Here is a 27868-nt window from a genome sequence, read left to right as displayed (position 1 = left end):
AGAGACGAACCCCCAGGGACAGGGGCCTCCAGCTGGCCTGAGTCCACAGGGATATATGTTCCCTTCTAGCCAACAAGGCGCAGTCCTGCTGAGCAGCCACAGCTGTTTTCAGAGCTCTGGGACAGTGGCCTGTGAACTTCCCTGCTCCCATGGCCTTTTCACACAGGCACTTTGTGGTTGATCTCCCTGGGTGACTGCCTTCCCTAAAATCCCTGGCATAGATCCTCGCCCACGATGAACACTCAGAAAATGCTATCAGTTTCTGTTAAAATTGGGAAGCGGCTGGGCGCGGTGGCTCACGCCTGTAATCCCAGCACTTTGGGAGGCCATGGCCAGCAGATCACTTGAGGTCAGGAGTTCAACATTAGTCTGGCCAACATGGCAAAACCCATCTCTACAAATAATACAAAAATAAGCTGGGCGTGGTGGCGGGCACCCGTAATCCCAGCTACTCAGGAGACTGACGAGGGAGAATGGCTTGAGCTGTGATCGCGCCACTGCACTCCAGCCTTGGGGACAGAGCAAGACTCCGTCTCAAAAAATAAATAAAAATAAAATTGGGAAGCCTCACCATTTACTAGTGGGTTGCTGAGGGAGAGGAAGGGCAATGTGGACAAGAAGGAATTTGGAAACCCTGTAAATGGACTTTTGGGACCGTCTCCGGGTTTCAGTTACCCAGGTTCTCCCCATGCCCCATCCCCAAACCAGCCAAAGAAGTTGGTTCTTGATGCTACCATTTTAGTTATAGTTTATTTCATACCCTAAGGCAATTTTATCCCAAAGGGTCACCTGGTGAAGTCAAGTGCTGTTGAGATAAAGGCTGTGGAGGCTGCTGGAGCACTGATTCCAGCCAGTAGGCTTCCTGGTCCCCTCAAGGCACCTCTACTCTCAGTGCTCTCAGAGCCCACATGGGATGTCCCTCACACCTGGCCTGGAAGCCAGAGGGCAGGAAGCCAGCCTCAGCCTCAGCTCCAAATACGCAGACAAGCCCTCCCCGCTGCAGCCACACCAAATGGCAATTAAGTCAAAAGCTGGGTAGCAGAGGGTTTCTGGGCCAGAGTGCATGGTGTCTCTGGATCTACTTCCCTTGGTCATGTGTACTGGGGGGTAGGGAGGCACAGACACCCAGGCCCCTGCCTCAGGTCCAGCAAAGCTGAAAGGATGAGAACAGAGGAAACCAAGAAGCAGGCAAGAGGCCTGGGACCCAGGGCAGGGTCAACCCTCCTGGCTGCTTACCTGTCACTTGCATAAAGGGATGTGTCAACTTAGCATCCAGGATTTCCTTTTTCCCAAAATGAGACAGGGCATTGCAGTAAATGCTAGGAAAGCTCTCTGGCATATATGCATGCCTAGTTTTAACTTCCATTGATTTGACATTTACTACGTTCCAGGCACTCAGTGGCATGGGTATTCTGCACACAAAATTTCACTGAATCCTCTCAACAACTCCCTGAGGGTAGGATAACAAGATAGCTGAGGTAAGTGAAGGTCAGGAAGGCTAAGTCCTGAACCAAACTGCCACTGCTAGTAAGCGGCAGAGCTGGGATTGGAACTAGGGGCTGTCTGGCTTCAGATCTTTATCCTTAACCACCATGTTATACGGGGACTAAAGAGTGCCGGTGAGTTGTGAACCCAGACCCTTCCCCAGCCACACCTGGCAACACCCCCTGATCTCTGGGACCACAGCTGGGTTGTAGGGAAAGAATGGAGTCTCCTAAATGGTGATTTTTCTTTATTTCCCCGCACCTTCAATCTCATGGCATGGTCTGCAGGAAACCTCAGAGTCCTGCCAACTCGCAGGCTTCGCTGATCGCATGGCACCTGGGCACCCCGCCAAAGAGCTGAAACTCCCAAGGCTCAGCCAGGACTCTCCAGCTGTGGTGTTTCTAAAAGCCGTTCTGGGTGAGATGTAGAGCCGAGTTTTCCCAGTCGCTCAGTCCTCCTCCCGTGAGGACAACACTGCTTGCTCTCCTGGCTTGCCTCACCCATCCAGGAAAAGGTGGGGAGGGGCTCTAGGCAGCGGCCTCTCCTGGTTGAAAGAAACTGAGACCTGGGCCTTCCGTCCAGTTTAACCTGGAGCAGGCCTGGCCCCTGGGCAGGCTCAGAGCAGGTCCCCCATTCAGCAAATGAGGGTATCCTCCTATTTTGCCAACATCCATCTTCACCGACTTGGCCTGAACCCATTCTGAGTACAGAGGGACACCCATGACAGAAATCCCAGGTCAACTCTGCTGGAAGCCACTGTGCTGGAAGAGGACTTCTTTCACTTTGTCCACGATGGTCCCCACTTCAGCCATGGCCCCGAGACCTGGGAGCAAAATTCCGCTGTGGCCAGACAGGCCAACAGTGCCTGTAGCCCTGCAGACCCCTGCCCATTGCTCCAAGTGCTCCACCCAGAGCCCAAGGCCTGAGAGGGCAAGGTCTGTCTTTGCCTGAGCCAGACACATCAGATCTCTCCCAAGACCCCTGGCAAGACCCTGGGACTCGTTCCAGTAGCCATCCTTAACTGCGTGTGGGCTGCGTGCCAGGGACTCTACCAGGTACTTTACACATTCCACCCCATTTTACCCTACCAATCTGGAGGCAGGAATTACGATTCCCATTTTCCAGCTGAGAAAGCTAAGCTCAGAGAATGGTTTGCTAAGGTCATTAACAGGCCAGGAACTGAACTGAGATATGACCCCAAAGCTGAGCCCCTTCTACAGCCCTGGGCTATAAGCCTGGCAAGACACCCACCTTCATCTCCGCACACCAGCTTCTTGGCCACACAGGGGATCTCGACATAGCCAAAGGCCTTGAGCTGGTCTACCTGCTGCGCTGTGATCGGGTGCTCCCACATGGCGGTGTTCATGGCCGGGCAGAAGAGCAGGGGCTTGCTGCGGTCCCAGGCCCGCATGACGCAGGTCTGTGAAGAAGGCCAGGGAAGTGGGGGTCTTGCTACTCTGTCTGCCACCCTCCCCACCGCCCTCCAGACCCTGCAGCCAGCAGCCCAGCTGTAGGCTTGAGATGACTGGGCACAGCCTGCCTGCAGGGAGCTGTCTCATCCCTCAGGGGTGGGGGCTATGTCTCCTCGCCTCTCTCCACCTCCCCACAGGCTCTGGCACAGGATCCTACAAACAGGAGGTGCTCAACCAACGCTCAGACCTCCAGCAGGTATCCCTGTGCCTAAGCCTCCTCCAGGTAGGCTCACACCTCCTGGGAAAAGCAACCCTGGGGAGCAGAAGGCAGGCTTTTTTGGTTGCACCAGAAAGCAAAGGACCAGGCTGCTCCTCAGGTGGGGCTCATCTACTTGACATCAGCTCTCCGAGGCCAACTAAAGTCTGGCAATGAAAACATCTGCCGTTACCAAAACCTTCTCATATATAGGATCTCATTAACCCTCACTGAGACCTTATAAAGAAGGTGCTGTCCCATTTCACAGATAGGGAGCTGCTCCCTGAGAGGTAAGCAGTCATCCACGCCCACACCCGGACAATGGGCACCACCCAGGCAATGTTCCACTGCACAGCCTCACCATCTCCCAAATCCAGGCCGTCCCACCAAGCCACAGACCTGAGCAGTTGTGAAAGGAGCCATCCAGCTCACAGAGTCCTTTGTGCCACGGACTTTGAAATTACGTAGCCCTGAGTTCAAATCCTGACTGTGCTCTAGCTGTGAGAGCACTAGCTGTGTGTGTATTACTAGCTGTGAGAACCTGGACATGGGACTGAAGGCCAGGGCCTGGCTTCCTCTCTAGAAAGGTCCCTCCCTGGGCAGCTGTGAGGACTGAGGTGAGAATGGCTACAAAGCTCTGAGCGCAGGGCCAGGCACAAAACACAGGCTCCAGGGCAGTGACTCCTGGGCTTCCCACAGGCACAGGCTCCCTGGGCTGGGGGCCGCCTGGGGGAGAGAGAAGCTCCCAGTGCTCTGACTACTCCAGACACCTCTTCCAGGGCTGTGAGCTCCTCAGGGTAACAGGCTGGAAACCCCTCCCCTGAAGGGAAGCTCATCTGGGAAAAGAGCGAAGGAGTCCAGAGAACAATGCCCCGACAGGACAGGACCAGCACCTCCCCCAAGTCCCAGGGACAGGGAGGAAGCAGGACAGCAAACAGCCCTGGGACCTGGCTGCTTGCATCAGCCACCAGCATTAGTTTCCCACCAAGCCCTCTCAATACGGCAGCCGGGCTATGAGTGGACAGTTTCAGTCACACTTCCTCTTGGCTCCATGCCACCTGCTGCTTCTGCAGAAATCAAGAGCATACCTAGAAAAGTCGCTCCGCTGTGTGCAGGGCAGGAGCAAGGGCTGGGCTGGGCTTTCTAAGTGCCCTCAAAGCAAAGCACACCAACCAGGGTGAAAACCAGCACTCCAACTCCTCTCAGACAAGCCTCAGCTACTCTGAACCCACGAAAGCAGGCAGGAGGAGAAGAGAGCCTCGGTTCCCACGGTGACATCTCTTTGGCCAGTGCTGTGTTCAACATTTCAGGCTCTGCCCCTGGGAATTCACATGGGCAGGGGAGAAGGCCTGGATCCCAGTCAGGAGACCAGCTCCTAGCCAGACTGGTGACCCAGAGAGATTGTCTGCTCTTTCTAGGTCCGACTGCCTGTTTAGCACAAATGGGCCAGGGCCTTAGTGGGCTAGAGGACAGAGGGACACGGGCCTGGAGGCCAGGAGCACGGTCACACCTAGCATGCTGCCCTCACAGCACCCCATGCCCTGGGCGCTGGAAAGGGAGGTCTGCGGATGGAGGAGCAGGCTCAACTTCCTTTCAGGGATGTAGGGAGAAAACAGCTACAGAGAGAGGACACAGCCACAGGCCACCAATGCCCACACTTCAAACTTTGTAAAATTTGAGATTCCTTGAAACATTTGTGACTTCGAGGGAAAACCTTTGAGGCAAATGATCTGGGGGCTGGTCTTGGGAACATGTTTCACTTCCCAGCCAACTCTGGAGGAGGGAAGCCCAGGGATTTCATGAAGTGATGGCAGCTTAGAAGGAAAAGGGGAAGCAGAGCTTGCAGGAAGAAGGAAAGCGCCCTTGCAGAGCTGGCCCAGGCCGGGGCTTAGCTCCCAGAGGCCAGTACTTTGTCACACCAGCTGCTGCTGACCCGCCAGCAGGGAGCCTGGAGATTTGGTGAGATGGTGCTGGCCACACACAACTCTGACCCAATTTGATGAGAGCAGCCAAGAAACTCAACTGTTCTAGCTGCAGCTGCCATGTCAGTTGTGGCACCAGTGCTGCTGGGAAGCCTTTTTGTTTTTTTGAGACAGAGTCTCACCTCTGTAGCCCAGGCTGGAGTACAGTGGCACAATCACAGCTCACTGCAGCCTTGACCTCCTGGACTCAAGCGATCCTCCCACCTCAGCCTCCTGAGTAGCTGGGGACCACAGGCATGCACCACCACACCTGGCTAATTTTTTTTATATGTTTTGTAGAGATGGAGTTTCACCATGTTGCTCAGGCTGGTCTCAAACTCCTGGGCTCAAGCAATTTTCCTGCCTCAGCCTCCCAAAGTGCTGGGGTTATAGGCATGAGGCACCATGCCTAGCCTTTTCCCTTTTTTTTTTTTTAACTAGAGACAGGGTCTTGCTATGTTGCCCAGGCTGGAGCGCACTGGCTATTCTGGCTATTCACAGGCACAATCAAGGGGCACCGCAGCCTAGAACTCCTGGGCTTAAGCGACCCTCCCACCTCAGCCTCCCAAGTAGCTGGGACTATAGGGAAAGCCTTCTTGATGACATTGCACCCAGGCTCTCTCTTCTCTGCACTCCCTACCCCTGCTCCTGGCCACACAAGTTGTTCTTCTGCTCACCCTGTGCTCTTATTCAAATGATGCTTAAATCACTGGCAGATTCTTTGAGGAGTGCCTTAAGAGCCCATTGACAAGTATACAAGAACACTAATCTGTGACCCCAAAAAACATCCTGTCCCAGCTTCATCATCCACCTTCTTCACCACATGAAACTCTGAAAAACTCCCAGCTACTCGCAAAAGTAAAACTGCTAGTTACCGCATACATGCAGTAAGTATTTATTGGATGTCTACCACAGGCCCAGCACTATGCAAGGTGGTGACTCCATAGAAAGGACTGACTGGGGTCATTCAGGACTGTACCCCTCACCAGAGGATACTCCCTTCCCAACGGCATGGGTGATCAAGCCTGGCATTCTCCTTCCAGCCTGGGAGCTCCCTGTGTCCTGTGAGGCTCTCAGAACAGACCCCAGTACAGTACGTGGTAGGCGAAAGCTCAATAAATGAGGTGGGGGGTGGCAATTAGGGAGAAGGAGGAGAGAAATCACACCCAAATCTTCCCAGGACGATCATATAAACAAAGGCAGCTCCCCTTTAAGGGCAACAGCTCCCTGGAGGCATCTTAGGCCTAGGACAGTGCCCACTTTGGACAGCTGGACTTCCATTTCTCCCTACCACCCATCGGCTCTCGCCACTGCCCCGTCTTTCTCCCCTCTTCCCCTCTAAGCTTCCCCTAATATACAGGAAAGCTACAAGGGTGATAAAGTGTATATGAGCCATCTATGAAGAAGTGAACCCCCAATTACATTGCCCACGTGTATACCCAGATCTGCGGAGAAGGCAGAGCTGAAGCGGGAGGCGATGGGGCTGGGCAGAGACAGTGGAAGAGCACACCCAGGCAGCCCACGAGGAGGGACAAAGAGCAAGGAAGAAGGGTCTTCCTGTGGGCACCTGGCTGGGTGCAAGGGCAGGGGAGAGGGGGACACTCCTGGGGAGCAGTGGCAGGTCACACTGACCCATCAGGACCAGGGCTGTGCCCATGTGCTACAGAGAAGGTGAGAGCACTGGGGGCGATGTGGGGAATGGCGGAGCACGATCTCCCTGGGCAGACCGGGGCCCCACAGCAGCAGGTCTCCTTGTACAAGGATGTCTGCAGCTCAGCAAACTGGGTGTGAGGCCCAGGGACGGACGAGGGCACCAGGACATCACTCACAAGCAAGTTGTCACAGATGCCACTGGCCACCTTCCCCAGAGTGTTGGCATCAAGAGGAGCCACCAGCAGGAGGTCTGCCCACCTCCGCAGGTCAATGTGCAGAACTGGGTCAGAGCGGCTCTTCCATATCTGGCAGAGGGAAGAAAAAGGGGTCAGTGTGGAGGAAGCAGGATGCAGCGCCAAGGCAGGCCAGGTACGGTAAGTCAGGAGACTGAGGAACCCACTGACCTGCCCTGCCCAGGCCAACCTCCGTTCCCTCCTGCAGCTAAGCTGGCGAGCGCTAGCCATGGAGCCAGCAGCCGAGAGAACCAGGCCTGAGGAAACAAGTGCCCCTTGTCTCTCTGAGCTATTCCCTTCATGGTTTGGCTTTCAAGAGAACTGACATCTGGCAGGGAGCTCCCGGCCTGTCTGCTTGAGGCGGATGCTTGGGTTGTCCAAGCCAGTGGAAAGCTCCGGGGCAGTGAGAAATGGAGGGGGTGGGGGCGGGGAAGACAGGCCAGCCGGAAATGTTCTAGGCTAAGAATGTTTGAAAATGCCTGGCAGGGAACCCCTGTGAGGCCCACACTCAGCGTCTGGTGAATCAGCCAGTGCCCACCCATCCGCAGGGGAGATGCAGCAGAGCCCGGCGGCCGTGGGAAGTGAGGCGTTCTCTTCAGCCCTGACGCCAGGAACCACGTGGACAAGGGTGGTGGGAACAGAGCTCCTCTGTGGTTTCATCAGCCCAGATAAGTACAAGGACACTCAACCTCAGGCACCAGGCCAAAGCCCAGCTCTGCCTGGGCCGGGAGGAGACTAGGGCCTCCTGCAGGCCAGAAGCTAGACAGATGTTTTCTTCATTGCCTCTGCCCAGAGGGCCCTGACCACAGACTTGAGCCCAGCCTGTCTGTTCCAGCTGCCAGACCATAGGCCGTAGGGAGGACTGTTCTGTCCTGCTGGTGGAAACTCAATGGAACTCAGCCCAGGGGCCCCAGCACTGACCTCCCATTCATCAGCGTCGCTGTAGAGGGTGACAGGAATGTCCTGGGGGCTGTAGAAATGTTTGGCTCTCTCAGTTGTGACCACTGCTACTTCCAGCTGTCACCAAGAAGAAGGGGGTGGCGGGGAGGGAGGAAGAAACTGTTACCAGAGCCACAGGCCTGGAGGCCACAGGAGGGTCAGGGCAGGCAGGTGCTGTCTTCACAGGCTGGCTTGAGAGAGGACTTCCCTCCTTAGCTGCAAGCCTCATGTCTGCTTAGCTACTTCTGCTGTCACCCAAAGGTCAGGCCCTATCAGGTGTGGCTGTTTCACTTCCCTATCTGAGGGGCTGCTGAGGAATGAGTCACCAACTGCCCGTATATACAAAGCTGCAAGCTCCTGCCACTCGGGCAGAGGTAGGCCCAGTGGCAGAGGCACGCAAGTGACAGGAAAGGAAGTCAAGGCCAGGGCCGCAGAGGCCACAGCAGGCAGGAGGGGCCACCCAAGGAGGCTCATAGGTCCTGAGTTCTGTGCCACACAGCAGCTCTGCCCTCTGCAGGCCAAGGCGCTGGGGGCTGGGGCGCGGCATGTCCTCTGTGCATGCATGACCCGAAGAGAAAGCAGACAGTATCCCTTCACGTACTTCTAGGAACAAGTCCTCGTGGGCACAGGCTGCAGACAGGCTCCTGGAGAACCCAGCCTGTGTGTGCCCTACACTCATGGGGTGAGAATGAGGTTTACCTGGTGTACACTACCCATTCACTAAGAAATTACTAACGCAAACCAGGGCTGCCTGCAATCTGCTTAACAGAACACATGGCTGTGAAAAACAGCACCCAGGAGTGTGAAGGGCACTAGATGGGTTGGCTATCATTTGTAAAACAAGATTTTTTTTTTTTTTTTTTTTTGAGATGGAGTCTTACTTTGTCGCCCAGGCTGGAGTGCAGTGGTATGATCTCGGCTCACCGCAACCTCCGCCTCCCAGGTTCAAGCCATTCTCCTGCCTCAGCCTCCCGAGTAGCTGGGATTACAGGTGCACACCACCACGCCTGGCTAATTTTTGTGTTTTTAGTAGAGACGAGGTTTTTCACCATGTTGGCCAAGCTGGTCTCAAACTCCTGACCTCAGGTGATCCACCCGCCCCAGTCTCCCAAAGTGCTAGTGTTACAGGCGTGAGCCACCGCACCCAGCCTGTAAAACAAGATTTTAGACTAACGAGCTGGCAAAGTACAGGGGCCCAGAGGAAGTAGCTGTTGGGGAGAGGGGTGTATAGGGAACCACATCTTTGGGGGAAACCAATGAATCAGGAGAGGACATTTGTTTCTCTGGACATTTATCCAGAAGAAAGAAAAGTCAAGGGTGACAAGGACAGAACCATCAACCAGCCAGAGCTATAGTCATGGGCCATGTCTGGGCCAGACCCAGCCTATAGACATGCTGTTTGGCCTACACAAGATTATTAACATTTTTGAGCCAACATGTCCAAGTTGGAAGATTTCGCATAGAAAATTCAATTTCCTGAGTTCTTGTGAAAAGCTGAAGGCTAGGCGCTGCTGGACACACATTCCTACGTGAGAGCGACGTGGTGCCCTAAGGCCTGCCTCTCACTCTGTAGGACGTGCCCATGCCAATTCCACCTTGTCCTCATTCCTCCTTACTGTCTCTCTGAGGCACCCCCTCCTCGCTTGCTTCCTGCATATTGTACAGGGCAGGGTGGATGACACAGCGGCACAGCGCCTAGGAACAAAGCTAGGACCAAGGAGTAGAAGTCTCAGAGAAGAAGACTGAGGAAGAACTTCAGAAAGTCTGGCGTTCTGAGTTCTATTGACTTGTCCATTCTCCATCTCACTCCCCCTTAGGATCTACCATGCCCAGAACCTGCAAAAAAACCTCAAGGACCTTTTCAGAGGTCCATCACTTATTTATTTATTTACAGAGTCTTACTCCATTGCCCAGGATAGAGTGCAGTTGTGTGATCATGGCTCACTGCAGCCTCAACTGCCCTGGGCTCAGGTGATCCTCCCATCTCAGCCTCTTGAGTAGCTGGGACTACAGGTGCATGTCACCATGCCCAGCTAATTTTTTGTATTTTCGGTAGAGACAGTGTTTCACCATGTTGCCCAGAATTATCTCAAACTCCTAGGCTCAAGCAATCCACCCACCTTGGCCTCTCAAAGTGCTAGGATTACAAGCATGAACCACCATGCCCAGCCTAGAGGTCATTTAAACCAAACTCCCACTGAATGCTGGAGTCTCCCTAGGATGGCCCTGAATAAGCCTTGCCCAGTTCTGAGTAAGATGGCAAATGAGCAGGGCTGCATTATCCCTCCCCGGAACCCAGTCCTGGAGATGCCACTGGGCCAGCACAGGTTGGGAGAGCAGGGCAGGGCGGGGCCATGCTGAAGGCCCTGTCTCTTTCGTGGGGAAGACACAAGATAGTGATGAGGTAAAGAAGAGGGCACAATAAGTTATGGTAACCATAAGAAGAATAACCTTTACCTTTCAAACCCACAGAAGGAAATTCAATCTACACATAAAGGATACGAAAGGAGAAAAAGAAGCAGAGAGAATATATGATAAAGCATTTGGCCGGGAGCAGTAATGGGATTACGCTCATGCCTGTAATCCCAGCACTTTGGAAGGCCGAGACAGGCAGACTGCTTGAGCCCAGGAGTTCAACACCAGCCTGGGCAACATGGTGAGACCCCCATCTCTACAAAAAATACAAAAATTAGCCAGGCATGGTGGTGTGCGCCTGTAGTCCCAGCTATATTCGGGAAGCTGAAGTGGGCGGAGCCCTTGAGCCTGGGAAGGCAGAGGCTGCAGTGAGCAGAGATCAAGTTACTGCACTCCAGCCTGGGTGAAAGGGTGAGACCCTAACTCCAAAAAAAATAAAAAAATAAAAAAATAAAAAGCAAGCAAGCATTAAATAAGACAGCATAGGTAAATCCTAATATAATAATAATTATAGTAAATATATAACAGGCTCATCTTCTGTATTAAAATTCAGATTCTTATCTTGGATATTGTTTAATCCATCAATATCTTGTATAAAAAGATAAATTTAAAGCAAAAGAACATATAAAGGTTAAATAGAAGAAAAAGCTTTTAGTTAAATAAGGTAAACTCTGCTCCCTCCCAGAAGCCCATTAAAATAAAAGTAAAGTAATTTTTTTTAAAACGATCTAAACTCAGTGGCTCACGCCTGTAATCCCAGCACTTTGGGAGACTGAGGCAGGCAGATTGCTTGAGGCCAGGAGTTCAAGACCAGCCTGGGCAACGTGGTGAAACCACATCTCTAATACAAAAAAATTAGCCAGCATCGTGGCACACACCTATAGTCCCAGCTACTCTGGAGGCCAAGGTGGGAGGATCAGTTGAGCCCAGGAAGTCGAGGCTGCAGTGAGCCAAGATCATGCCACTGCACTCCAGCCTGGGTGACAAAGTGAGACCTTGTCAAGGAATAGAAGAGAAGAGAACGGCTGGGCATGGTGTCTCACGCCTGTAATCCCACTTTGGGAGGCTAAGGTGGGCAGATCACCTGAGGTGGGGAGGTCGAGATCAGCCTGACCAACAAGGAGAAACCCCATCTCTACTAAAAATACAAAATTAGCCGGGTGTGGTGGCGCATGCCTGTAATCCCAGCTACTCGGGAGGCTGAGGCAGGAGAATCGCTTGAACCTGGGAGGTGGAGGTTGCAGTGAGCTGAGATCGCACCATTGCACTCCAGCCTGGGCAACAAGAGTGAAACTCCATCTCAAAAAAAAAAAAACAAAGAAAGAAAAGAAGTAAATTCTCAAGAACAAAAAGAAGAGGAACCAACAGCAGTTAAGACGTGCCAATGCGCTTTCAGAAGATGGAAGCGAAAGGAAGCACTAGCAGAGCAGATCCTACAAGATAAGATTAGATTAGATGAGAAAAGAAAATATCCAAAGCCTACACAGTAACTGAGACACAAGCCAATTAGAGCCCAGGAGCCTAGGACTTGAGGCAGTGAGTACCACAAAGGTGAGCATGAGGCAGATAGCTGAATACAGGAGGACTTCCTGACCTGTAGAAGGAACAGCTAAAGTCCCCCCAGGTCTTCTTCCCACCCAAGGCAGCCAAACATACTACCCTTGCAGAGTTAGCACAACAGAGGTCAAAGGAGTCCTGGAGCAGAAGTGAGTATCTACAGACCAAACAGAGACCCAAGCCTGCTTCCCCTACTTGACCCTAAGAACGCAAGGTCAACCAGGCAGGAGACTACTGATAGGGTCCTTCTGGAAAAAACAAATAACCCTGGCAGTAGGGAGATGTGGTAGGGAAGGAAACCTTCAGATATGGAATTCAGAGGTCCACCAACAAAACATTTCAATACCAGATGAGTACCAAGTCCCTGGCAGTGAAGACAGAGTTTCCAATCAACTTTTGGCACCCAAATAAGAACAGCCAAGGAGTATCAGATATCTGAGGAGAGTCCTCTAGCAAGAAAGAGATTACACAAACAAACAGAAAATAGAAACCCAGAGACAATAGAGGGAGAAGAAAACTTAAAGATGAGAGACTACACCCAAGAAACAAGAACATAACACTTTTTAAAATGAGTATTCAAGGAACAAAAAAGAACTCTTAGAAATTAACATTATAAACAGTGAAATAAAAAATTCAACACAAGTCTAAAAGAAATCTTCCAGAAAGGAGAAAAAAAAAGATAAAGAAACGGATAATAGTAGAAAAAAGATGAGAAAATTGAATCAATTCAGTAGGTTAAAAAATCTGACGATTAAAGAGTTCCAGAGAGAACAGAAAAATAGGAGAAAATTACAAAAAAAAAATTAAATTAAATTTCCCAGAAGTGACGAACCCACAGGTGAGAGCCATTTACTCTGCCTCCAGGGGTCGGAGAAGGCAACCCCACTGTTAGGTTCATGAAGAAATTAGAGCGTCATGTCTATTGGTGCAGCCTGAGCCCACAGCAGCTCTTCTGGTGGCCACATCCCTCTGCTGATGTATGGAGTTTGCAATCAGCAAAAACTCAAAAAAATTATTCTCATTCATGCTGCTACTAAGCCACAAGCGCCAGGCTGTATCTGAGCAGTTATTTTTCTGGTCCCAAATGCTGTCCCTCACATGTCCCTGGTAAACTTCCCCTCACCAGAGTTGGTCTGCTGTTTGCTCAGCCTACAGAGAGCTCCTGAGAGCTCAATCCTGTTGCTCCTCCTCTCAGCCAGCACCACCATCAGTAGCCCCCAGAGACACTAATCCAAATTATGAACAGAACAAAGTCAAGGGCAGAGGCCACCCACAATGTCCACGGGCGTGGGTGTGGCAGCAGAGCAAGGGGTGAGAAAGAACCAAGAAGAAACTCTTTCCAAGTTGGATCTTTCACTGGCTATAACATGCTGACAACATCCCCAGGTGGTCTAGGGAGAGGTCCTAGGATTCCATCAAAGGCCTCATCTAAATCGAAAAATACTTTGTCTACTATCCAAAACATAAACTAAAATCGATATGCCTTGTTCCTAGTGATCCCAATCTAGCTTTTCTTAGCACTTACAAGCCTCATCTGTAGCAATTTGTGGAGCTCACCTCCTTCACCTTTTTGATAAATGGATACTAGCCATCTCCTGCCCCTGGCCCCTTTGACGTTTCCCACACTTCCTGTAGGTCACCAACCACAGTACCCTAGCACCCCAGGAGAGAACTTGCCCAGGACAGGAGATGAATCACCCAGCCTCGGTTCAGGTCCCTCCTACCACCACAAGCTCAAAAGAGAAGATGAACAAAATGAGATCAAAGAATCCCCCCATTTCTTTGTTAAAAACAACAACAACAACAACAACAGAGTCTCACTTTGTCATCTAGGCTGGAGTGCAGCGGCGCAATCTCGGCTCACTGCAACCTCCCAGGTTCAAGGAATTCTCCTGCCTCAGCCTCCCAAGTAGCTGGGATTACAGGCATGCGCCACCATGCCCAGCTAATTTTTGAATTTTTACTAGAGACAGGATTTCACCATGTTGGCCAGGCTGGTCTCGAACTCCTGAGCTAGGGCAATCCACATGCCTCTGCCTCCCAAAGTGCTGGGATTACAGGCATGAGCCACCGCGCCCAGCCCCTCCCATTTCTTCTTATCCTCTGCTAATGTTACCACTGGCCTCCAGCACCAGACACTGCTTCATTGTTCTTCTTCCAAATACATAAAACAGCCCTCTCGAGCCTCCTGAGTTTTGCCATAAGCTTCAGCTCACCCTGGGGGGCTCTGGACCACATTCTTCCTTCATCTCTGGTTACATGTCCTCCCTTCCACTTAACTGTTTTCCAGCTCCTTCAACAGAAGGCTTCAGGTAGCCAGAGACCACATCTCTGCTAATACACTGCCTGCTTCTGCTCATGGGACCACCATCTTTCATTTCTAAGAGCTTCCCAACCATCCTGAACCATTTGCTACTTAAGAATGTCCCAGGTTCATCGCCTCTATTCTGAAATTTGGAAAGCTACTTCCTGAAGGTCTAGGTCCTCCACTCTCCCCAGCTCCCAAAACCATCTTCCAGTTTGCAAAGCGGAGAACCTTGCCTAGTGCTGGCCTTCAGAATCATCCCCAAATTGGGCGCCAGGCATGGTGGCTCATGCCTGTCATCCCAGCACTTTGGGAGGCAGAGACGGGCGGATTGCTTGAGCTCAGAAGTTTGGGATGAGCCTGGGCAACAGGGCAAAACTCCTTCTCTACAAAAAAAAAATAATCAATCAATCATCCATCAATAAAAAAATAAAAAGAATCATCCCCAAATTGGTAATGCCCTTGATTCAGGGGTTCTCGCCTCCCTCTCAACTCTACCCTTTCTTCCTTCCCTACACCGTCACTCAAGGTCTCAGAGCCTTTAGGCCCCCACTGTCCCCTGGGGAGCTCCACCCGGGGTCCTGTTAAGCCTCTCACCCTGCTTGAGATCTTCCCTCTAAGCTCTTTGCCTAACCTCTCAGAGGCTCCACTCTCTAGCCACCCTCCCAGGTTACAGTCACATTGTTAGGGAGCCTCCTGGGGTCAAGGTCTTCACTAAGGAGTAATGCGAAGAGTATGTGATGGGCGGGTCTTTCCTGATGCCCCACCTCTGACCCACTGAAGCAGCTGACTCTCCTTGGAGGTGACCCTGACTGACCCCAGTGCTGTCTAGCAGGCCCAGACTAGTTTTTCTGGTTTTAGAGGGATGTCACTTGATCTGATTCATCAGCCCTATGGGCTTTGTTCTTTTATTTTCATTCACTCCACCAAAAGGTCCTGGGAGCCAAGGGCTGGGCCCTGTACACATTAAAATAAATAAATAAATAAATAAAACCATGTGTTATCTTCTATGATACTAAATAATTCTGACCGTTTACTCATTTACCTTGACCTTTTCCCAGCAAATGCCAAGGAGCCCTGGCAGGGCAGAAACTCCCTGAGGGCAGGAGCCTTCCTTGGCTTTCTCTTACACCTTTGTGGGTCCTGGTAGAAGCAGCGCTGGGCATTAAAAAAGAATCCCCCATATGCTACAGAATTCCTGAAAGGCAGCTCCCGGCTTAGTCCCCTGCTGACACCACTTAGAAAAAAGTTTTTTTCCTTTTTTTTTTTTTTTTTTTTGAGACACAGTCTTGCTCTGTGCAGGCTGGAGTGCAATGACACTATCTCGGCTCACTGCAACCTCTGCCTCCTGGGTTCCAGAGATTCTCCTGCCTCAGCCTCCAGAGTAGCTGGGATTACAGTTGTGCGCCACCACGCCCAGCTAATTTTTGTATTTCTAGTAGAAAGAGTGTTTCACCATGTTGGCCAGGCTGGTTTCAAAGTCCTGGCCTCAGGTGATCTGCCCACCTCAGCCTCCCAAAGTGCTGGGATTACAGGTGTGAACCACCACGCTCAGCCTACCTGAGAAAAGTTTTTACAGCTAATAGTTTTAAGCTAAATCTCTTTGTGTATGTGACTGAGGCTTGGACAGACCCTATTACATAAGCTGCCTGCATTTTATCTAGCATGTATAGAGATTCCTTCCCGAAACCAGTTGGCAAGTCTAGTTTCCTTTTCTTTGCTGAAGAGACATCAGGAATCCTGATTTGGGTCTGGTCAGGAGAAATGGAATGAGGATTTAGAGTGATACCTCCCGTTTCTACTTCAGGCCCCTAGTGTGGCCAGGCTACGTCTGGGGCAGATTATCAAAGGAACTCGTGGAGAGGCACTTCGCAGCCACAGGATGAGACAAATCCCATGGCCTGAGTCTCCACCGCCAAGCCCATTCCTGGCCTCTACCCACTAGAACCAAGAGCCAGTAGCACCACCATCCCTAAGTTAGGACAACCAAAAATGTCTCTGGACATTATCCAATGTCCCCTGGGAGGGAAAATCACCCCCGTTGAGAACCACAACTCTACAGCATTATCCGTGAAGAGCATTTCCATCTCTGCAATGATGGGAACGGCCCTACCTGTGCCGTAGGGTGTGGCAGCACTGGCCACATGTGGCCACTGAGCATCTGAGGTGTGACTGCTGTGACTGAAGAACTGAATTTTTTATTAAATTCTAATTAATTTAAATTTAAATTTGAATGTGGCAAGCGGCTGCCACATTCAAATTTACATTTATCGGATAGCACAGCTCTGGAATATACAAGAAAATTTAAATATATCAGATAGCACAGCTCTGGCATATACAAGAAAAGGAGAAGAGCCCAACTGGAACTAGCAGCTGAGTGGCTGGAGAGCAGGCGTTTCTAGTAGGGCGTGATGATGCCTCCACTGGAGACCAAGGAGGATTCTAAAGAGGAAGTGGTAGCCCCGCACTTAATCTGTGACAAGACAAGGAACCCAGGGCTTTGGTGGCCCAGTCCTCTGGGCCAGGACGCACAGCAGAGGACTCTGACATTGGGTCTACCAGTGTTGACGATGGCATGCTCCAGATCTGTGCCCAGGTCCTAGCGGCCAGCTAAGAAGCTGACACTAACCTGAGCAGGGGAGTTGGTGGGTACATTCTAGGACAAAGGATTCTTGGGGCCCAGTGCGGTTGGCACATGAGGCGCGGGAGCTGTGAAGGAGGTGGCCTCCTTAACAAAACCCCCAAGGGAGTTCCGGTTGGCTCAGTGGGTTCCATGGCTCATGATGATGCCTCTACTCGGCAAACATTTACTAAGCCTCTTATATGGTGGGGGCAGGGCTGATAAGATCCAAGCTCTGGCCTCTCCTAGGGCTCAGTCTAACAGATAGGTGGGGTACAGGTAACCCCTAACTGCAAGGCAGACCAAGATAGGAATCCACAAATTCCACCATCCTCAAGCATTGGTGAGCTTGAGCAGAGAATGAGCTCCAGGTCTGAGCTCTTCAATTCACTCACTGATAGGACCCAGGAAACCTGGCCTCAAGCCCCCAGTTCTGCTAACTCACTCACTCCCTGGAAGGCCGTGGGCGAGACCCTCTTCCTCTGTGCCTGGTTTCCCCTTATGACCCATGCATGGGCCATTTAGACCACATGGTAGGGCTCCATCTAGCTCACCGTACCACCCCAGCCCTTCTGTGACCCTGACCTTTCCCACCTGGCTCTGCAGGAAACAGTCGTGCTCTCATCTGCCCCTGGGGGAGCTGGTGTTCTGGTTGTGTCAGCTCCTCATGCCAACCCTTCTGTGTGCTTCCCCAACTTCAGAAAATTCTCAAGAAGGAAACCAGGGAGGTGGTCTAGGGAGGCTCTGCACAGGAACGTTGTTCTGGGCAATCAGGGAAGGACCCTGGGGTGCGGGACCCTCTGCCCAGAGGCCGACAGAGCTCTGTCCCTAGAGGAGCAGGTGACAGGGCTGCAGGCCAGAGGAGGAAGGGGCCAGCCAAGCAGGCAGAGGCACAAATAAAGGTCTCAGAGTTTCCACATCAGGACACAGAGCGGGCAGGTGGCCCCCACCCAGAAAAAAAGAGAAATCCTCAAACCAGGCCTTATGTCTTCTGCTCTTTCCTCAGTGAGCACTTTAAAAAAAAAAAGCACAAACTTATCAAGAATGTTCCCCAATATTCCCACCAAAAGCCCCACTGACTTAAAACAAACAAACAAACAAAAAAACACACACACACAAATATACACATAGGTTACAAATTAAAACTGAACAGAATGATACAAAAATGAAAAATGCAAGTTTCCCTTCCTCCACTGGTCCCCCTTCACAAGGGTAACCACCTCCAGAGGAAAAAACTGTGTGCAGTAACTCAGTATAAGAACACACAGAAGGAATCAGGCTGCATACCAGGGGTCGGCAAACCTTCTCTATAAAGGGCCAGATGATATTTTAGGCTTTGTCGTAATGATTTAACTCTGTAGTAGCACGAATGCAGCCATAGGCAATACGTAAATGAATGGGTATGGCTGTGTTCCAATAAATTGTCTTGGACATGAAATCTGAATTTCATATCACTTTTTTTCCGAGTCATAAAATACTATTTTTCTTTTGACTTAATCATTTAAAAATGTAAAAATCAGGCCAGGCACAGTGGCACATGCTTGTAATCCCAGCACTTTGGGAGGTGGAGGCAGACAGATCACTTGAGCCCAGGAGTTTGAGACCAGCCTGGGCAACATAGCAAAATCCTGTATCTACAAAAAGAATGCAAAAAAATTAGCAGAGTGTGATGGCACGCCTGCAGTCCCAACTATTTGGGAGGCTGAGGTGGGAGGACTGCTTGAGCCTGGGAGGTCAAGGCTACAGTGAGCAGTGATCACACCACTGCACTCCAGCCTGAGCAACAGAACAAGACCCTGTCTCAAAAATAAATAATAAAAATTAAAATGTAAAAATCATTCTTAGCTGTAGGCTATACAAAAACAGGCAGAGCCGAATTTGGCCTTGGGGGGGGGGGTCCAGTTTGCTAGCTCCTACACCCTGCTTATTCCGCTTCCATCTTGATGATTGCTCCCTTCAGCACAGAGAGAGCCACCCCATTTTTCTGAATCATTGCCAAGTAATCCACTGAGAGATTGTCCCATAAATCATAAGGGCACCACAGCTCTCTACTGCTGGATATTTTGTTTGCTTCCAGTTTTGCTTTGAAATTATAAATAATGCTATAATGGACATCCTTTCACTTTGTAAATACACCCCACAGAGTTTAATCCTGTGGGTAAATCAAGGACTATGAAGATGTTTTAATTTCTCTCAATATTGTCAAGTGGTCCTCCAGAAAGTCAGAATTTACTCCACACTGCATATGAGCAGAGCCTTCTTTTCCTCACCCTCGACAGACCTGGATGTCCTGACAGACACCCTAGAAATGTATCCTTCTCTGAGCCCGAGGCCTGCTGACTCCTTGAGTTGGGGGTTTTCTCTATCTTTAGAAATCCCCTTTTGGCTCTGAATTCTGCTGACACCTGCCCTGGCAAAAGCTAGGGCGATGTCTGTCTTCTCCTCCCAAGTTTGAAGGGTGTGGATGAAGGAGTTCAGGAAATGCCACCCCATAATATGCGGCTTTGGTATGCTGATTATTTCAAACCTGAAGGCACTGGGGGAAAAACAAATGCAGGGAGGAACTTTCTCTGAACTTCTCTTATCTGCCTAAAGAGGGATTCCCCTTGTCCTGAGTCCCCCTCCCTGAGAAAGGAAGACTGACTTATTGACAATCTGCTGAGGCATCTTTTATTATCTGAGAGGTTTTTATCTGCCTAACAAGACCGTATAATTCCTCCCCTCACCCTCCCATAACTTGTGTCGCCACCACCCCCAGAAGCCCCAAGCCCCTATTTCCTTCTGTAGCTCAGGCTGCTATACAGGCTTCAGCCATCTCACCCTTCTGGGAATCTCATATTTTGTGGTACACCCATGTGCAGATATGTAACTAAATATGGTTTTCTCCTGTTGATCTTGTTTTTTGTTGTTATTGTTTTGAGATGGAGTCTTGCTCTGTTACCCAGACTGGAGTGCAGTGGCATGATCTCAGCTCACTGCAACCTCTGCCTTCTGGGTTCAAGCGATTCTCCTGCCTCCGCCTCCTGAGTAACTGGGATTATAGGCGCCCACCACAACCGGGTAATTTTTGTATTTTTAGTAGAGCTGGGGTTTTACCATGTTGGCTAGGGTGGTCTCGAACTGGCCTCAAGTGATCCGCCCGCCTCAGCCTCCCAAAGTGAGCCACCGCGCCCGGCCCTGTTAATTTTGTTTATAAGTCAGTTGAACTCATAGCCCAGCCAAGCAGCCTAGCAAGATGGAGGAAAGCCATTTTTGCTCCCCTGCATGGGCCAGGCTGCCAACCCCAGGGAAGAAACTGCCTGAGCTGACAACCCGGATTTTACTGCCACTCAATTACATGACAACTACGGAACTACAAAACCCCCGGCATCCTGAAGCTCCTGAGCCCCAGGACCTTCTCTCAGGCTGCCTTTGGGTCCTAGTCCTTTTTGCCCTCACATCTAGAATCTTCTAACACCAGTGCCAGAAGAGGCCCTGGAGATGGATCATTTGAGAACCTGCCCCTCCTTCACTGTGTGGATAAGAAAATTATGGCCAAAAAGAACGGACTTGCCCAGGGTCCCAGCGTCAGAAATGTGCTCAGCTGCCTCTCTTGTGACACGGTTGCCCACCTGCCCCAACATACTCAAGGTCATCTCTGCTAGTGACTACTCTCCCTGACTGCTGGTGTGTGTGGCTTGTGGCTAATCCATGTCTCTCCACCACCCCTCACAGTCTCCCTGATTTGGCTACCTTGACATTAGCGGCTTTCCCGGGATGTCTGGACATACTGGTCAATCAGGAACAGTGATGGGCCAGATCTGTAGAATCCCCCAGCTCCCTGCAGCCCACACCCCAGCTGTTCATGTGCTAGACAAAATCTGGATGTACCTAAGGAAGTTCCGGAAAGCCTTGAGCACCTGAACCCACGACTCAGCAGGTGAAGAGCTGAAAGTGACTGCTCCAAGGGACAATGATGCTCCTGCAGGAGATCCAGCAGGAGGCAATGTGGAGATCAGGGCCATCAGGGAGTGAAGGGGAGTGTGCAGGGATAGACGCCACCACTGGGGCCAACACAAGGCAATCCAGGGATTACCTTTGGATCCCAACACCTCACGAGGGCCCTAATAAGCAAGGCCAGGCTTGGAGAGCTGTCTCCCTGCAGATGAAAGGCATGGGCCCTCCACAAGAGCAGGTGAACTGTGGCTTCCATGGCTCTTCCCAGTGGGGTTGCCCCACACCATGTGGCTGGCCCAAAGGACATGAACAAGGGGAAAGGACAGGGTGATGGCCAGGAAACACACACAACCGAGTGCTTCAACATGCCAGGCTCTGTGCTGAGTCACTGGCACAGGACCATTTTCATCTGTGACCCCTCCCACCCCAGCCAACATCTCAGGGAGCCTGACAAGAGTCTGGGGGATGGGCAGCAGGAATCAGCCCTATTTTCAAATGGGAAAGGCAAGCTCCAAGAGGCTGAGTCGGGGAGCCCTCCCTCCCAGTTCAGTGCCCTCTGGCTGCCTCACTTTTGGCATCAACTCCAACCAGAGAGGGGAAGCCAAGTCCTGTTCCAGACATGGCCTGCCATCCCATGGGGCCCAGGCTAAAAGGCCCTGGGGTGGGCTGGAGCACCTCCCTGCTCCAGGCAACCCTTTCCTCACAACCCCCCTCCCACCAAACGCTGGCTGCGTGGGATGGGAGGAAGCGGTAGGGTTGCCATTTCCCTCCGCTCTGAGGCTGCCCATCTGTTTCCTGGGATAGGACTCCCCGCCCCTATCCACCCCTAGTCCGGAAACTCACTTGCCCTGGGGCTATGGGAAAAGGGAACTGCATGGCTCCCTCCCTCCCCAGGGGGTGGTGGCAGAGGCCTCCCACCCTCACGGCTCTAGCTGGGCAGCTCCTACCAATGCTTCTGGGTACACAGCGGGTGGCTGGGCCTAAGCAGCACTGCCCTAAAAGTGCAGCACCCAGTGTCAGAGTGCCACGAGACTCTCCTCCCTCCCCCACTCTGGCCTGGCTGTCATCCCTGGCTGGCAGCTTCATGGCTTATCCCAGCCCTGGGGGTGGGGTGATGGGGTGACTTTCTGGGTGGAAGTTGGTGGAAAGTAAAAAAGTGAAACACTTCCCAGCCCAGCCCCAGCTGATGTGACCACGTGGTCATCTGTGAGTAAGCACCGCCCCCTGCTGGACATGCCAGATACGGCCACTGCACCTTGGGTGCTCAGCTGATAACAAGAGGGAAAAGCCAGGCCTGGGGCCCAGCAACTTCACAAGACCCCACCAAAAACTAGGGGCCAGTAACACCAGCAGTGTCTAAGGCAACCTATAGTTCTATGTCAAATAAGTTTAAAAGAAGGGGCCAAAACCACAGGGGCTGGGCTGGGGCAGACAGGGAAGGCTTTGCACAGAATGTGAAAAGGCGAGAGAGGAGCAGAGAGGGCAGCCAGCCTAGCAGGGCCCAGCCACGCAAAGACCAAGGGGGATAAGACAGACCAACTAAGGGCCCTGGAGGTGGAACTAGGAAGTGGGGCCACTCCCTGTTAGATTTCACGCTGTTTAAAGCCTTGAACTTCTGCACCAGAACCCCAATATAGAAAATAGATCCAAGTTGAGGGTCTGGCCAAGGACGGGGGCTAGAGTCCCTCACCCCAGCACACAGTCGGGGGCCCCTGGGGCAGCTCTGAACACCTGAAGGAGCAAAGTTTGAACCTAGAGCTTCAGACAATGGGGTTTCAGAGCATTTGACTGACAAGACAACCATGAGGTCTCACGAGGAGGGAGAACACAGCCGCAGTGTTCAAGGCGGAATGAAAGCAGGGATGGGGAAGCCCAAGGCAGGAGGGGATACTGAGAACTTGCTGCACTTCTCCAGCCAGCCCTCCTCCCACACAGGACTTCACGGATTCTCAGGGTTAATGTATGGGAGCCCAAACCCTCCGTTCACTGGGTCCTTTCCCAGTCTCCCCTCATGCCCTGTCTGTACTATCTAATCTAGCCCCTGGTTACACTGGGCACTGGTCTCTGTCTCCTGAATCCTCCACAGAGCACCACACACACAGGACCTCCACAAGCATGATTAACATGATAAAGAAAAAGAAAATTGCATGTACTGCAGAGCAATGGGCCATCCCCGGGAGCACCGGCCTCCCATGCCGGAGGCTGCCATGCTTATCTGGTGAGGATACTCACCCCAGGAATGTCCAAAAGCTTTGACACCAGAAGAGGCAACTTCAGGGCTGCGACACTCCCCGTGACACCCACAAGAACATGGAATTTTCTCTCCATCAAGGGTGCAGCAGCTGGACAGGAGGCCTTTGGTTCCATGTGGGGTCTGGTGGCTTCAAGTTCTGGGAGCCTGCCAGGCCTGGGCTCTATAAAGCTGTCGGGATTTAGGATCTAAAAGGAGAACAAGGGCCACCCCCTTCATTCATACAGTCGACCAGAATGTATGGAGCACCACGTATTAGGCCCCAGGCCAGAGGCTGAGGCAGCGGAAGGGATCAGCAGTCCTGGCTTCAGGGAGCACACAGTTTGATAAGAAAGTGAGACACCTTCCCCACACATGGGCCAGTCACAAGGGAATGATGCAGTGCTGTGGGGAAGGGCTGTACCAGGTGCGTGGCTGCTCAGGGTGACCATCTCTAGAAGTCAGAGATTGCATCCCAGAAAAAATGACATTGGGGTTGAGTCCTGAAGGATGAGTTAGTTTTTCAGAGACAGGAAGAAATCACTTCAAAGGAAGGAACAATCTTGCCAAGGTGAAGGTCCTGAGGAGGGTGGCAGGTTGGGGAACAGGGAGTGGCTTACTAGTGAGGCCGGACTGTGATGGGGGGTGGTAGAGGGGCAGAAAGTGAGACTGAAAGTCAGGGTGAGGCCAGAATGCCGTGGGCAGCGAGGGCCAGGGTGAGGAGTTTTGGTTTTAGAAAGACGGTGCTGGCACCTGGTGACAGTGTCAAAGGGACCCTGTTAGTGGAGAGACTGGAGGGCGAGAGGAGCTGCTGCGGTGGACTGGGCTGACTGGTGAAAGGAAGCGGCAGGAAGGGATGGGTTCCAAAGATGCTCATGAGGTGGAACCCTGGGCAACAGGGAGGTTTGGGTGCTCCAGGGAGCCAAGAGATTTGCCTCTCTGTCCCTGTCCCTGTTAATCAAGATGGGCACCACCGTACAAATCAAAGCCCAGGAAGAAACCAGCATAAAGGGGATGCAGGCCACCCCAGGAGATTAGCTGGTTTGCTTCTTCCTCTGGCTCTCAGACGTTGCTAGAAGTGTGCACTCATGATAATATGGCTGATGGACACCAAAACCTACACGTGGCGGGTTGGGCCAGCAGAACGTGCTTCATCAGCAACCATCACTGAGGACCGATTACAAAGAACACCATGCAAAGGAATTGTGGAAAACACAGTAGCTGCCTCTGGGGAATCTGTAGGTTGAGTTTGAGAAGACAGGAATGACACCTGTCTGAAATTATTTGAGATCAGTCCTTCCCTGGGATGCACCTTTTTGGTGATCACAGACTCAATTAACACATCAGTTTCCTTGCCTCTCCCTCCACCAGCAAGCTCCCTGAATGTGTGACCGGGTCTAATTGCCAACCAGCAGTCCACTAGCCGGCAGTCCTGAACAGGTGCTGAATGAATAACTATACCCTCCAAGGCAGTGTGAGCAGAAGACAGATACCTAGCCTGTGAAGCAGAAGCCCTGGGCCCTGACCATGGTGTGCTCCTGACCTGGAGTGACCCTGGTCCAGGGTCATTCCCTCCCTGGACCTGTCCCTTCATCTGAAAAATGCAGAGGTAGGACCAGATGATCTCTGAAGCTCCTTCCAGCAGAAACTTTGAGTCAATACATGAAAGAGAGCAGTAAGGGGCTCTCCTTCCAAGACAGAAGGTCCTAGAAGATGCACTCAAAAAAGAATCAGCATGGCAAGGGAAACCCAGGCAGCTGCCCAGGAAGCAGCGCTGGTGAGTTGTCCAATGGCTACCTCCATGGCTGAGCATCCACAGGGGCCTATCTCCTCTTCACTCACAGGCCCCTTGGCTCTCTAGCCTCTCTGCCCAGGATTTGCCTTCAGCACTTGAGCACAACCCACGTGGGCTGAGGATCATGTTTGGCTGCATTATCCCACTTCTCAGCAGGGGTTAAGCACAGGCTGGTTCCCTAGGGCAAGATCACCCAAAGTTTGATTTGCCAGTAATCTCAATGTCTGCTCCACTGCAGGGCCCCAACCAGGGCAATGCTTGGCCAGAGTTGGAGAACTGAGTTTACCCCAGGGAGTGGGGAGCCCTGTTAGAATCTGACAAGGTACAGAAGGGCTACCAGCCAGCTTCTTCCCAGAACACATCATTGGTAGGTGATGGAGGCACATTCTTTATTCTCCAGGGAAACCTACCTGCCAGATCGCAAACCCTGACCCTGTCCCACCCTAGCCAACTGGTGCTAGGATAGGTAGATTCCTGCAAAACCAGAAGCCAAATTTTATCTCTGAGGCCCCTGAACCTCCTCCACATCAAGCTGATCTCATTCCTAGGAAACAGGTTACAGAAAGCAGTCAGTTAAACTTGGGGCAGGAATCTGTATTAGTGACTTCAACTGCTTCCCCACAGCAGGCACTATAGTCCGAAATACAGTACTTAGCCTGCTTAGCAAAGCTGTGCTAAGGATCAAACCTACCTACCTTCCTAAAAAAGAGGGTGTGTGTGTGTATGTGTGTGCTTAATATACTTGAAGAATAGAAAGTGGATCATTTAACCAACATTTGGAGGCGAGGTCCAATCAGTTCAACCTGAGAATTCCAGGAAGGGTGATGGCTGGCAGGATTCCTTCATTTGCTTGCAAAGAGGATCAAATTCCAAACCAGTAAGTCTATTACTGTAACCAGAACCTGTTGGAGTCACCTATTTGCACAGGTAGCTGTAGTACCTGACTTCCCCGGGCTCTGCTGAATTCACAGGAACTCCTGAGCAGCAAAAAGAGTTGGCAAGTGGGCAGGTTATAGGGCTACACGCTTTGATTACTGAGCCTCAAGATCCCAGGGCACTAGCCAAGCAGGTAAGCCACAGCCAGAAAAATGGCAGCTTCTCTATCCTCCAGAAAGACAGGGACAGACAGAGCAAAGAGCCTCAGCTTGTGATGTTTAAGTCTCCTCTGATGAGTTTAATTCAGGGCAGAGTTTTAGGTTTCAGGGATACCTGCCAGTCCCTATATGGGCAAAGGTGGAGCTGGCACAGAACCAGACTAAAGACAGAGCAAGGAAAGCAAGGCCAGACAGGGTATACGTTCAAGCTCAATACAGGAAGGATGAGAACTGAGCCTAAGACAAAGCAGAACCAAACAAGGGAAGTGGGTGGTGGGTAGGCAGGGATCCAAGATCCATTATGAGCCTGAATCCTTTAGCCTAACATCAAAGCCCCTCACTACCGGCTGCCCAGGCTTCTGCTCCAGCTTACACCTGTAATCCCAGCAATTTAAGAGGGCAAGGTGGGAGGATTGAGCAAACCCAGGTACTCGAGACCAGCCTGGGTAACATAGCAAGACCCCATACAAAAAATTTAAAAGTTAGTGAGGTGTGGTGGCACATGCCTGTGGTCTCAACTACTTGGGAGGCTGAGGCAGGAGGATCGCTTGAGCCTAGAAGGCTGCAGTGAGCCATGTTTGTGCCACTGCACTCCAGCCTGGGTGACAGAGAGAGACCATTTCAAAATATAATAATAGTACCACAAAAAAAAAAAAGTGTGTAGCTATTTACATAGCATTTACACTGTATCAGGTTTTATAAGTAATCTAGAGATTATTTAAATTATATGGAGGGCGTGGTGGCACGTGCCTGCAGTCCCAGCTACCTGGGAGGCTGAGGTGGGAGGATTATCTGAGCCCAGGGAGTTCGAAGATGCAGTGAGCTATGATTGCACCACTACACTCCAGCCTGGGAGACAAGAGTGAGACCCTGACTCAAAAAAAAAAAAAGAAAAGAAAAAAGAGTATACAGGAGGGTGATGTGGTGGCTCACACCTGTAATCCCAGCATTTTGAGAGGCCAAGGAAGGAGGATAGCTTGAGCCAGGAGTTTGAGACCAGCCTGGGCAACATGGTGAGACCCTGTCTCTACAAAAATGAAATAAAATAAAAATTAGCCGGGTATGGTTGTTTATGCCTGTGGTTCCAGCTACACAGGAGGCTGAGGCAGGAGGATCCCTTGAGCCCAGGAGGTCGAGGCTGCAGTGAGCCATGTTCCTGCCACTGCACTCCAGCCTGGGTCACAGAATGAGACCTTGTCTCAAAAAAAAAAAGTATACAGCAATCCCCTGCGGATACTGAGGGATAAATGTATCTAACACACACACTCACACACGTGGGCTACTAGAAAGGCAGTGACTGCGAATTGCTACTTCCCAGCCACTGTGAGAGATGTGGAAACCCCTGCTCCAGGACAACCACCACTTCCCCAACTTGGCAACCTCTCCTGCTCACCATCTAGCACCTGCTTCCAAATACTTCAAGGACAGCAGGAAGTTCTTTTCTGACAAGATTTGGCCTAATTTTTAAATAGCACTCAGCACTTTTTGGCAGGCCTAGGGCTACTTCCAACATCCCATGGCTTTCCTTTTTTAATTTTACCAACTTTTTAAATACACTTTGTACTTTGGGCAGCCCGGGTAAGCGTTCAGTGTGAGGAGCTGACACGGCCATCATTTAAACTAGATTAAACGACACTGGACAAATAATCGCAGAGCAGCACAAAGTCGGGCTGGACGGGTACAGATGCAAACCCTCCACTCAGGGCTCGGGGGTCCCTCCTGCTCCAGGCGGCCCCACCCGTACAGCCGGGAAAGTGAGGTCGCACAGATGGACGGCCGCCTACCCACGCACAGTCGCAAACAGAGCTTCATGGGCACACAGGGGAAAATAAGGACACACACAGACAGCCGTGGACCCACGCTCGCGGACACAGCTCCCCGAACCTCCCCTCCCGCGCCGCCGCGAGAACCCAGCTTCCCAGCCCCCTTCCACTGCTCACCCGCGCCAGGCGCGTCTCGGGGCCGCTCCCAAATATC

The 27868-nt window shown here is 51.6% G+C and overlaps 1 protein-coding gene across 7 annotated transcripts, besides 13 other annotated features; it reads right to left on the bottom strand.

Annotated features, from left to right (window-relative positions):
- On the bottom strand, positions 732-27868 carry PPCDC (phosphopantothenoylcysteine decarboxylase). Of its 7 annotated transcripts, NM_021823.5 has the most exons (6): positions 27832-27868; positions 23005-23211; positions 7922-8017; positions 6944-7072; positions 2737-2905; positions 732-2308 (listed from the first exon to the last, which is right to left on the bottom strand). In NM_021823.5, the coding sequence occupies exons 2-6, from the start codon at positions 23137-23139 to the stop codon at positions 2223-2225; spliced, it is 615 nt and encodes a 204-aa protein (NP_068595.3). In that variant the 5' UTR covers positions 23140-23211; positions 27832-27868; the 3' UTR covers positions 732-2222. The 7 variants fall into 7 exon arrangements, 6 of the variants coding, with proteins under 6 accessions (NP_068595.3, NP_001288030.1, NP_001288031.1 ...); NR_125369.2 differs by lacking the exon at positions 23005-23211; NM_001301101.2 differs by lacking the exon at positions 6944-7072.
- Positions 4237-4296: a silencer, noted in NCBI's record as "silent region_6663". NCBI's record gives its function as "represses an Ori minimal core promoter by ATAC-STARR-seq in GM12878 lymphoblastoid cells {active_cell/tissue: GM12878}" and the evidence as "EXISTENCE:reporter gene assay evidence [ECO:0000049][PMID:35858748]".
- Positions 4457-4606: an enhancer, noted in NCBI's record as "active region_9825". NCBI's record gives its function as "activates an Ori minimal core promoter by ATAC-STARR-seq in GM12878 lymphoblastoid cells {active_cell/tissue: GM12878}" and the evidence as "EXISTENCE:reporter gene assay evidence [ECO:0000049][PMID:35858748]".
- Positions 4617-4666: an enhancer, noted in NCBI's record as "active region_9824". NCBI's record gives its function as "activates an Ori minimal core promoter by ATAC-STARR-seq in GM12878 lymphoblastoid cells {active_cell/tissue: GM12878}" and the evidence as "EXISTENCE:reporter gene assay evidence [ECO:0000049][PMID:35858748]".
- Positions 7178-8377: an enhancer, noted in NCBI's record as "CDK7 strongly-dependent group 2 enhancer chr15:75335422-75336621 (GRCh37/hg19 assembly coordinates)". NCBI's record gives its function as "activates an origin of replication core promoter dependent on BRD2, BRD4, P300/CBP, MED14 and CDK7 cofactors, with strong dependence on CDK7, by STARR-seq in HCT116 cells {active_cell/tissue: HCT116}" and the evidence as "EXISTENCE:reporter gene assay evidence [ECO:0000049][PMID:35650434]".
- Positions 7178-8411: a biological region, named in NCBI's record as "CDK7 strongly-dependent group 2 enhancer GRCh37_chr15:75335422-75336621".
- Positions 7702-8061: an enhancer, noted in NCBI's record as "active region_9823". NCBI's record gives its function as "activates an Ori minimal core promoter by ATAC-STARR-seq in GM12878 lymphoblastoid cells {active_cell/tissue: GM12878}" and the evidence as "EXISTENCE:reporter gene assay evidence [ECO:0000049][PMID:35858748]".
- Positions 8102-8411: an enhancer, noted in NCBI's record as "active region_9822". NCBI's record gives its function as "activates an Ori minimal core promoter by ATAC-STARR-seq in GM12878 lymphoblastoid cells {active_cell/tissue: GM12878}" and the evidence as "EXISTENCE:reporter gene assay evidence [ECO:0000049][PMID:35858748]".
- Positions 8502-8591: an enhancer, noted in NCBI's record as "active region_9821". NCBI's record gives its function as "activates an Ori minimal core promoter by ATAC-STARR-seq in GM12878 lymphoblastoid cells {active_cell/tissue: GM12878}" and the evidence as "EXISTENCE:reporter gene assay evidence [ECO:0000049][PMID:35858748]".
- Positions 13945-14183: a silencer, noted in NCBI's record as "fragment chr15:75329616-75329854 (GRCh37/hg19 assembly coordinates)". NCBI's record gives its function as "represses an EF-1alpha promoter that drives an FKBP-Casp9 reporter gene in an ReSE screen in phorbol 12-myristate 13-acetate-treated (for megakaryocytic differentiation) K562 erythroleukemia cells {active_cell/tissue: K562(+PMA)}" and the evidence as "EXISTENCE:reporter gene assay evidence [ECO:0000049][PMID:32094911]".
- Positions 14533-15033: an enhancer, noted in NCBI's record as "H3K4me1 hESC enhancer chr15:75328766-75329266 (GRCh37/hg19 assembly coordinates)". NCBI's record gives its function as "activates a minimal SCP1, AML or CMV promoter by ChIP-STARR-seq in primed H9 embryonic stem cells {active_cell/tissue: H9 hESC(primed)}" and the evidence as "EXISTENCE:reporter gene assay evidence [ECO:0000049][PMID:30033119]".
- Positions 17386-17579: a silencer, noted in NCBI's record as "fragment chr15:75326220-75326413 (GRCh37/hg19 assembly coordinates)". NCBI's record gives its function as "represses an EF-1alpha promoter that drives an FKBP-Casp9 reporter gene in an ReSE screen in HepG2 liver carcinoma cells {active_cell/tissue: HepG2}" and the evidence as "EXISTENCE:reporter gene assay evidence [ECO:0000049][PMID:32094911]".
- Positions 19534-20034: an enhancer, noted in NCBI's record as "H3K4me1 hESC enhancer chr15:75323765-75324265 (GRCh37/hg19 assembly coordinates)". NCBI's record gives its function as "activates a minimal SCP1, AML or CMV promoter by ChIP-STARR-seq in naive H9 embryonic stem cells {active_cell/tissue: H9 hESC(naive)}" and the evidence as "EXISTENCE:reporter gene assay evidence [ECO:0000049][PMID:30033119]".
- Positions 22091-22280: an enhancer, noted in NCBI's record as "active region_9820". NCBI's record gives its function as "activates an Ori minimal core promoter by ATAC-STARR-seq in GM12878 lymphoblastoid cells {active_cell/tissue: GM12878}" and the evidence as "EXISTENCE:reporter gene assay evidence [ECO:0000049][PMID:35858748]".

The sequence above is a fragment of the Homo sapiens genome, chromosome 15 (genome assembly GCF_000001405.40).
Source record: "Homo sapiens chromosome 15, GRCh38.p14 Primary Assembly".
Classification (NCBI taxonomy): domain Eukaryota; kingdom Metazoa; phylum Chordata; class Mammalia; order Primates; family Hominidae; genus Homo; species Homo sapiens.
The sequence above is the reverse complement of the archived record's forward strand: the minus strand, read 5'-3'. Positions and strand labels throughout refer to the sequence as shown.

Coding starts and splice junctions, on each gene's coding strand:
- PPCDC (NM_021823.5), bottom strand. CDS start 23,139: ATGGAACCAAAGGCCTCCTGTCCAGCTGCTGCACCCTTGATGGAGAGA. Junction 8,018..23,004: donor AGCTTTTGGACATTCCTGGG/GTGAGTATCCTC, acceptor TCTTGGTGACAG/CTGGAAGTAGCAGTGGTCAC. Junction 2,309..2,736: donor GCTGGTGTGCGGAGATGAAG/GTGGGTGTCTTG, acceptor TTTTGCTCCCAG/GTCTCGGGGCCATGGCTGAA.